Raw genomic sequence first — 8,589 nt, forward strand, 5'->3', positions numbered from 1 at the left:
GATCAATAAATACTTTTTAAAACCCACTAATGTTATTAACTTTTAAAGATTAGACTACCCATTTTTAGTGAATCAAAAGCATTTTTTCATTTTACTGCTTTATAACATTAACAGCTAGCATTTACTGAGAACTTAGTATATGAAGGGCATCTTGCTAAACACTTTCTACATTTCACAGGTAAGAGAAATAAAGGTAAGGGAGGTTGACCAACTTTGTTTAAGGTCACACACGGTACTTGTAAGTGGTGGTGCCAATATTTGAAGTAAGGTCTCCTGACTCCAAAGTCCATGCTTCTACAAACACTCCTTTAAACTGCCTAGGAGTATTCATGTCTAGGTAATCAACCAATCTATCCCTTCCCACCATTACACCTCCCCCACTTTTCACAAACACACACACACGCACACTCTCACACACTTTTCTTGGCCCTTTTGCTCATAAGAGTACTGTATACAGCTGACTTCTGTCTGCCTTGATCTCTTTTTCTTTCATCTTCCCCTCATTTATGCTCATCCTACATCTCCTTTACAACATGTATTTCCTTTTCCCACTTTCATCTTTCATTTTCTTTGCATGGGAATGTTCCTCTTTTAATCACATTGATGAGGGAGGCCTTTAAGCAAGTGGTGTGCTCTTGACAGCAAATTGTGCACATCCCTTCTCAACTCTGCGTTAAGTGACATCATGTTGGTAGCTGGAAATCAACTGTAGCAGGAGCATTTACATAGTGGAAATAGGCTAACACTACAAATAGTTTAATGGAAACTCAGTTGTTAAACATTTATCAATACACAACTGCCTTTGTCCTTGTTAGGACCTCCAATAGAAAGCTTATCTTTATATCTGCCCATCTACATTTCCTTTGGTTCTGTAAATACTGTCTTTTGGAATTCAAACTCTCACTACCTCCTTCAACGATTATATTGATTCATAGCTTGTGTGGTAAATTTTATTCCTTTAACATTCATAAGAATTTTATTTTCTAGTTCTGTTGGAACAGTTTACTATAAATTCCCCATGGAATGAAACTACTTTTTATTCTTTAAAAAAAATCCATTTTAGTACCTCAAGTATCCATTAGTTAATAGCTAATGGATCTGTGCTGAATGCATTTTCTTCACTGGGCTAGTCGAATATTACCGGCAGAACCCCCTTCAGCTCATTCTGCATTGTTTTGTGCCCTGTTTTTGCATCTCTCCTTCTCTCTTAAGCTGCCTCTTACCCTGCACTTATGCCATCTATTTCATAGTTCCTTTCCTTAAAATCTTCTAAAATTTGTCCTTGGTCTTCTAGTTTTGTTTCAGCCCCATGCTGTTTAAAGGATCTCCAAGTCTCTGCTCATGAGAGCATACTATTATTATTATTTTTCTTCCTGAAGCACTTCCATTGCCCCACCTCCATGGGACTACTTCCAGATGACGTTGACTAGATGAACCCAATCTTTTCAGTATCGTATTCACAGATATTTTCCTGCTTTATCCACAGAGATGGAAAATCATGTCTGTTGTCTATCAGATTTACTCATTTATAATGCTCACAGGACATCTTTATTTCCAAAATGTGAGGCCCTGAAGACTCACAAGTTATATCCTCCATGTACAGTCAGTTGTCCCTCAATGTCCATGGGGAACTGGTGTCAGGAACCCCCAGGAATATAAAAATCTGCAGATGCTCAGTTTCTTAAAATAAAATGACATAGAATTTGCCCATAACCTATACACATCCTCCTGTAAACTTTACACAACGTCTAGATTACATTTAATACCTTATACAATGCCTACATATAACTTTGTTAAATGCAGATTCCATGTAGTACTTGGCATATTGCAAATTCAAATTTTTCTTGTTGAAACTTTATAGAATTTGTTTTTCCAAATATTTTTGATCCACGATTGGGTGAATCCATGGATGCGGAACCCACAAATATGAAGGGCCTACTGTATTTATATTAGTCCCCTAAATTTTGTGTGTCTTGAGAAAAAAAAAAATGGCTTCTTGGTGACATACTCCATCCCTTCTTCAATCAAACTGGATAATGAAATGGTTTCTTATGCTTTTTGGTTTATCCTGTTGTCTCAGTCCCATGTTTCCTCTAATAGCACTGTAATACAACTTGTCATTGAAGGTATTTACTCAATGGCAATAGTGAATGGTAATCTTGTAATTTATGCCTGCATCTTTCCGACTTTATCAGCCTGCAGCCAGTTTTTCTTTTTTTTTTTTCTTTTTGAGACAAAGTCTCGCTCTGTCTCCCAGGCTGGAGTGCAATGGCGCGATCTCGGCTCACTGCAACCTCCGCCTCCCGGGTTCAAGCAATTCTCCTGCCTCAGCCTCCTGAGTAGCTGGTATTACAGGCGCCCACCACCACACCCTGCTAGTTTTCATATTTTTAGTAGAGATGGGGTTTCGCCATGTTGGCTAGGCTGGTCTCCAACTCCTGACCCATCTCAGCCTCCCAAAGTGCTGGGATTACAGGCATGAGCCACCATGCAGGTATTTTTTTTCCTTCTAGAGTTAAACAAGTTACTTTGACAAATCTGAGTACATGTAACTATTTGACAAGACTTCTGAAAAATGCAGATATCAGAGTATCAAATGATTGTTTGGGGTTACTCAGTTGTGTGTCACAACCCTTCCTTATCCTCAGACTGTCTTAAATTTTCATTGCATAAACAGACCAGCTTTTCTGTTATCATTTGCTAGACTTTCAGAGTCTGTGACCCCAGACCTATGTTGGATCTGAGGCGTTTTTTCAAACACGCATTCTTTTGTCAGCTTCTCCGTAGAAGGCTTTACATTAGGTGTTTCCTGTTATTTGTAATTTGATGAGGCCAATAGTGTTCCTCAAGCACATAATTTATTTTGTGTTAGTTTACATAGTTTCAGGTTAAAAATTATGAGACCTGGGAGGGCACAGTGGCTCACACCTGTAATCCCAACACTTTGGGAGGCCAAGGCAGGCAGATCACCTGAGGTCAGGAGTTCGAGACCAGCCTGGCCAACATGGTGAAACTCTGTCTCTACTAAAAATACAAAAATTAGCCAGGCATGGTGGCGGGCAACTGTAATCCCAGCTACTTGGGAGGCTGAGACAGCAGAATCATTTGAACCCGGGAGGCAGAGGCTGTAGTGAGCTGAGACTGTCATTGCACTCCAGCCTAGGCAACAAGAGTGAAACTCCATCTCTCTCTCTCTCTCTCTCTCTCTCTCTCTCTCTCTCTCTCTCTATATATATATATATATATATATATATATATATATATATATATAACTACTGAGAATTTGAAGAGTGGACATTAAGAAATTTTTGCCCATTTTTATGTTTGATAATGGTGCTGTGGTTGTTTTAAAACACCATTATCCTTTAGAGACTGTATTAATTATCTATTGTTGTGTAACAAATCACCCCAAAATTTAGCAGCTTACAAGAACGTTCATTTATTATCCCAGAGATTCTGTGAGTCAAAAGTCTGGGTGTGGCTTATCTGGATCCTCCACCTCAGGGTCTTTTAGAAGGCTGCAATCAAGATGTTAGCCTGGGCCACAGTTTTATCTGAAGACTAAGCTGGGCAAGAATCTGCTTCCAAACTCACCTTTGTTGTTTTGGCAGGATTCAATTCCTCGAGGGCTATTAGACTGAGGGCCTGAGTTCCTCACTGGCTGTTGGCTGGCGAACACTCTCAATTCCTTGCTATATGTGCCTCTCCAACATGGCAGCTTGTTTCATCAAAGCCAGCAAAAGTGGGAGGAAGGAGGAAGGAAGAGACAGAATGAATCTGCTAGCAAGATGACAATCACAATCTTCTGTAACATAATCACAGAAGTGACATCCCGTCACTTTTGCTGTATTCTATTGATTAAGACAGTTATTTTACCTGCACTCCATAGGAGGGATAATTACACCAAGGCATGAATACTCTATCCAAGGCTAACATGAAATTTACATATCTCAGTTCTGTCAATGGGAATTTTTATGTGTTTCAATTGCATTTGTAAGCTAACTGAATAGTTCTTTGGATCTGGATCTGTTGTTAGCTTGTATTTCTTCTTAACGTAATCCATGTTAAGAAAAATGCAGTTGAGTACAGAAGAAATCACCTAATATTCCACAAAAGATAATAAAATTCAAATTGTTATGTAATAAATCTAATGCTTTTTTCATGATCTCATCCTTTACATTTTAATGGTTCCCTGAACTGAATTCAGATATTCACCTTTATATTCTGCAAGTTATTATGGCTTTTAAGAACTGATATCAGCTGGGCACGGTGGCTCACGCCTGTAATCCCAGCACTTTGGGAGGCCGAGGTGGGCAGATCACAAGGTCAGGAGATCCAGACCATCCTGGCTAACACGGTGAAACACCATCTCTACTAAAAAATACAAAAAATTAGCCGGGCGTGGTGGCGGGTGCCTGTAGTCCCAGCTACTCAGGAGGCTGAGGCAGGAGAATGGCGTGAACCCGGAAGGCAGAGGTGCAACAGAGCGAGACTCCGTCTCAGAAAAAAAAAAAAAATTGACATCATAGTAAATATTTACATACCAGTAGCCATTTAGACATTAATGTGCATCAGAATCACCAGGAAAGCTTGCTAAAAACAAAAGTTCTGAAGCCCCATTCAGGGGATCTATGTTGGGACCCAAGAACTTTGTATGAATCCACATTTTCAAGAAATCCCCTGGTGATTCTCACACAGGTGGCAGATTAGCATAGTTTTAGAAACACTGTGACATTACTAAATGAACCCAGTGTTCCTTTAGGAATGGCAAGTAATCTAAGTTACACATCCAAAGTTATTTACTTGTTTAGAAACTGAACCGAGACAAAAACTCAGAGCTCCTGACTCAGTCATTATTAATTTTACTTCGGTTAAGTGCCTGCCTCGTCATGAAGAAACCACAGCATGACCAACAGACATTTTATTCCTGAGAATAGGAACTATGCTGGACTAGTGAGACCTACCTTTGAGCACTCTGCTAAACATCTGAAGGGAAAATCTGAGGATGAGAGTCTTGCATAATAGGTGTGGATGGGAGAAAAAACAGGTAAACACAGGTCTCACACAAATGACCTCATTCCAGTCATGTGAAGGAAATGCCACCCCCAACTTATACAAATTCCTGAGTTTATTTACCTGGCTAAGAGATCCAAATTTGATTAGCAAGTATTTTTTTTTTCTTTTTTTAAGAAAACTTTTAGGTTCCAGGGTACATGTGAAGGTTTGTTACATAGGTGAACTTGTGTCATGGGCTGGGGGCAGGTGGGGGGGTGGTTGTTGCACAGATTATTTCATTACCCAGGTATTAAGCCCAGCACCCAATAGTTATCTTTTAGGTTCCTCTTCCCCCTCCCACTCTCCACCCCTACAGATCCCAGTGTGTGTTGTTCCCTTTTTTGTGTTCATGAGTTTTCATTTAGCTCCCACTTATAAATGAGAATATGCAGTATTTGGTTTTCTGTTCCTGCATTAGTTTGCTAAGGATAATAGCCTCCAGCTCTATCCATATTCCCACAACAGACATGATTTCTTTATTTTTATGGCTGCATAATATTCCATGATGTATATGTATATTTACTTTATCCAGTCTCTCACTGATGGACATTTATGTTGATTCCATGTCTTTGCTTTTGTGAGTAGTGCTGATCAGCAAGTATTTATTAAGTGACTCTACTGCCTTCAAAGGTTATTTAAAAATGTTTCCAATTTTTCTTAAATTACAGAAAATATAAAAAATACATTAACCCATCTCATAGAATGAGTCCCTATATTAATCCTTTGGTATATTTAATTTCAGTACTTTTCTTTTCATGTATTAAGTACAATCAATATAAATTTTTAACAAAAAAAGAATATAGAGATTGCTTTTTAAAGGTGCTTTATTAACTTCACTATAATGAGCATCTTTCCATGCAATAGGTAAAATTCTTCTGCTAACAAAAATCTTACAGACTGGTTCAAAAACACAATATTCAATTAGAAGCTGGTAATAGGAGACCCACGTAAACAAGTGACAGGTAAAGGTTTACAACAAGGGCACATCATGAACATGTAAATTCGAAAGCAGGGGTCTGTTTCCGTAATAACTTTAGGGAAACCATCAGGATTCAGGGCATAAGGCAAAACTCATCATGATGGTCATGGTGAGGGGGGTCAGTGCTGACTGCCCGCAGACTATGACTCAACTGCTTTTCCCTCAGCTTTTCCATCAGCTGTCTCACCTCCTCCCCAATCCTTTCCATATTCTCTTCTCTCATCCTTGCCTGTGGTTCTCCAAGCCTATGCATCATATCCCATCTATACTGCAGGATGGGCTGCCTAACGCGGAACCGCCTACGATTTCCTCTAGGCACACAGTATTCACCAGCATCCAAAGGGAGGGCCAAGGGCTCCCCTTTATTAGCAACTTGCTCCTTTTCTTCATTTTCTTGGTTGGCATTTTCCATGCTGAGACTGTTTACTGCTCGTTTCTCTTTGGACTCCATTACTCCTAGGAGACAAAAGGAGAGAGAAGGGGCTGAACAGCTGGTGAACGCTTCAGTACCGAGGACAGAGGCACGGCTACTCATTTTTCAGGATTCCGCGTCATGGCTATCAACATGTTTTGTTTTGTTTAATTTCACGTTTCCCACCAGAGAGGTTTCGTGCGCCCACTAGGGGGCCCCCATTCGAGCCCGCCCCCCCCCCCACCTCTCGTGTCTTCCCCTACCTGCCCCCAAACCCACCATTTTCCCTACAGATCCATCCCTAGATCTCGGCAGGCACCAAAATGGAGGACGGGAGATGGGGGAGTTGGGAGGGGACCTCAGACTGGACTCTGCACCCGCCCCCACCACCGTCCCTCGCACTGACCTGGGCCTATCCTTGTAGTCTCCTCCTTCTCCCGATTCTCGCCACGAGGTGCGCCGCCGGGACACTTGGCCCCGCAGACCTGCAGAAGGGCTGGGGTGTGGGGAGGGGGGGCTGCTGCAGCGGAACGCTAGCTCCTTCTCCGCCTAGGGCCCTCCTCACTGCCAGCGCCCCGCGTCTCCCGCCCCCCGCTCCCACCCTCGGCCGCCTCGCCCCCCGTGGTGTTCACCGTTTTCCTGCAAGGACTCGGGAATGGTTTTCCATCGCTCTTGGTTGCTCTGCTGCCCCTGGAGCCCCAGCCGCCACTGCTTCCCCACCCCAGGGGACCACTATGTTCCCAAGAATGTTGGGGTGTGGAGAAAGCTGGCGGGGATCCCCTGCGCTGTTCTGCGCTCGTCGGGGGGGTCGGTGAGCCTCTGCTGGCCTAGCCAGGGCGCGCGGGCCCCGGGGCCCTTACCTGGTCCGCTTTCCCCCGGGCCGGATGCCAGCCCGCCGAGCGCAGGGCAGCGGGGAGCTGGTAGCGAGACACGAGTGACGACTGCACCGAAGGCTGCGTAGCTCTGCAGCTCCCGGTCACGTGAGGGCCGTGCGTCACCGCCAAGCTCACCCTCCTTCTCACCAACCCCCACGGGCCGGCGGCCAGTTAACTGGTACTCCCCCCTTTGGAACACACAGACACCCCCCTCCTCCCGTCTGTGCGCGGTGCCCCAGTGCGCACAGCCCCGTCACTCATCTCCGTCCTCTCCAATCTGAGGGCCCACAAGTGGCATCATCGCTTTGCGGTTGGAGTTTACCCATCTTCGGTTATTTGGGAGGGTCTGTACCCTTCCTTTCCCCCACCCCAAACCCCCTTCCTCTGGCCTTGGCCTTTTCTTCTTTCCTCTTCTCACTGGCTGTGTATATGCTTCCTAATAATTTCTCTTTATTTCCTTTTTAAAAATCAGCATCCCTCAAAAAATTGAAAATAATCAAATTTTATTTTTGAAAGAAACACTTCAACCTGGGAAAGTAATATATATATATAGTTTATGTTCATCTATAGCACACAGAAAACATTTTCTCTAGGCTCCACACCATCATTTTTAGAGCATTCTCACTTGTTTGAAAATTTTATGAAAAAAAGGAGAGAAAATTTTCCTGAACACAGTTGGTGTTTTCAAAATAATCTGTGAAGTAAATCTTCAGGAAACAGTTCTGTTGTCAGATCTTGGCCATTTTATGTAAATAATCTACGTTTTTATCCTTCTGGGACAAATTTCAAGTTTTATTAATAAACATTTCTATTTTATTCTATTATAATAAACATTCATTAAATATGAAAAAACATTTGCTGACAACTAATGCCACCTGCTAAAATTAGTGGCTATCACTGTTGATGGTTTGAAGACTTAAGCAAAAGGAAGAGCTGTGAGGCCAAGGCAGGTTGAGTGACGCAGAGATAGAGTATCCCTGCCCTGACAAGAGGTTGGGAAGGTGCTGGTCTTCCACTGTTATATTCGAGAGCTTCTTAATTCCTATGTTCAGACTCCTAATTCTGTTGCTTACTCCAAAAATATAGATGGACAGGTGACCAAGGTGGTGACCTTAATATATCACTTTGGCTCCTTCCTTCTATTTCTTCCCCAAATTCCCACCTAATGACTCACTTCTCAGCATAGTTGGGAGGTCTCTTCCCATTCTGGAAACCAGAATAGGGCTTTTCTACAGCTCTGTGGTGAGAGATTCCAAGAAAAGCCTAGA

The 8,589-nt window shown here is 42.6% G+C and overlaps 1 protein-coding gene across 1 annotated transcript, besides 1 other annotated feature; it reads right to left on the reverse strand.

The window, feature by feature from the left end:
* Positions 1-5,861: 5,861 nt before the first annotated feature.
* BEX1 (brain expressed X-linked 1) lies at positions 5,862-7,382 on the reverse strand. The gene is made up of 3 exons (NM_018476.4): positions 7,307-7,382; positions 6,853-6,942; positions 5,862-6,490 (listed from the first exon to the last, which is right to left on the reverse strand). Exon 3 carries the CDS (start codon positions 6,483-6,485, stop codon positions 6,108-6,110), a length of 378 nt encoding a protein of 125 aa, NP_060946.3. The 5' UTR covers positions 6,486-6,490; positions 6,853-6,942; positions 7,307-7,382; the 3' UTR covers positions 5,862-6,107.
* Positions 7,272-7,566: an enhancer, noted in NCBI's record as "tiled region #49; HepG2 Activating DNase unmatched - State 4:PromP, and K562 Activating non-DNase unmatched - State 7:EnhWF". NCBI's record gives its function as "activates a minimal TATA promoter and a strong SV40 promoter by Sharpr-MPRA in HepG2 and K562 cells {active_cell/tissue: HepG2 | K562}" and the evidence as "EXISTENCE:reporter gene assay evidence [ECO:0000049][PMID:27701403]".

This window comes from Homo sapiens, chromosome X (assembly GCF_000001405.40).
Source record: "Homo sapiens chromosome X, GRCh38.p14 Primary Assembly".
Taxonomy (NCBI): Eukaryota; Metazoa; Chordata; class Mammalia; order Primates; family Hominidae; genus Homo; species Homo sapiens.

What these genes read in the sequence shown, in the direction of transcription:
- BEX1 (NM_018476.4), bottom strand. Translation starts at nt 6,485, where the DNA reads ATGGAGTCCAAAGAGAAACGAGCAGTAAACAGTCTCAGCATGGAAAAT.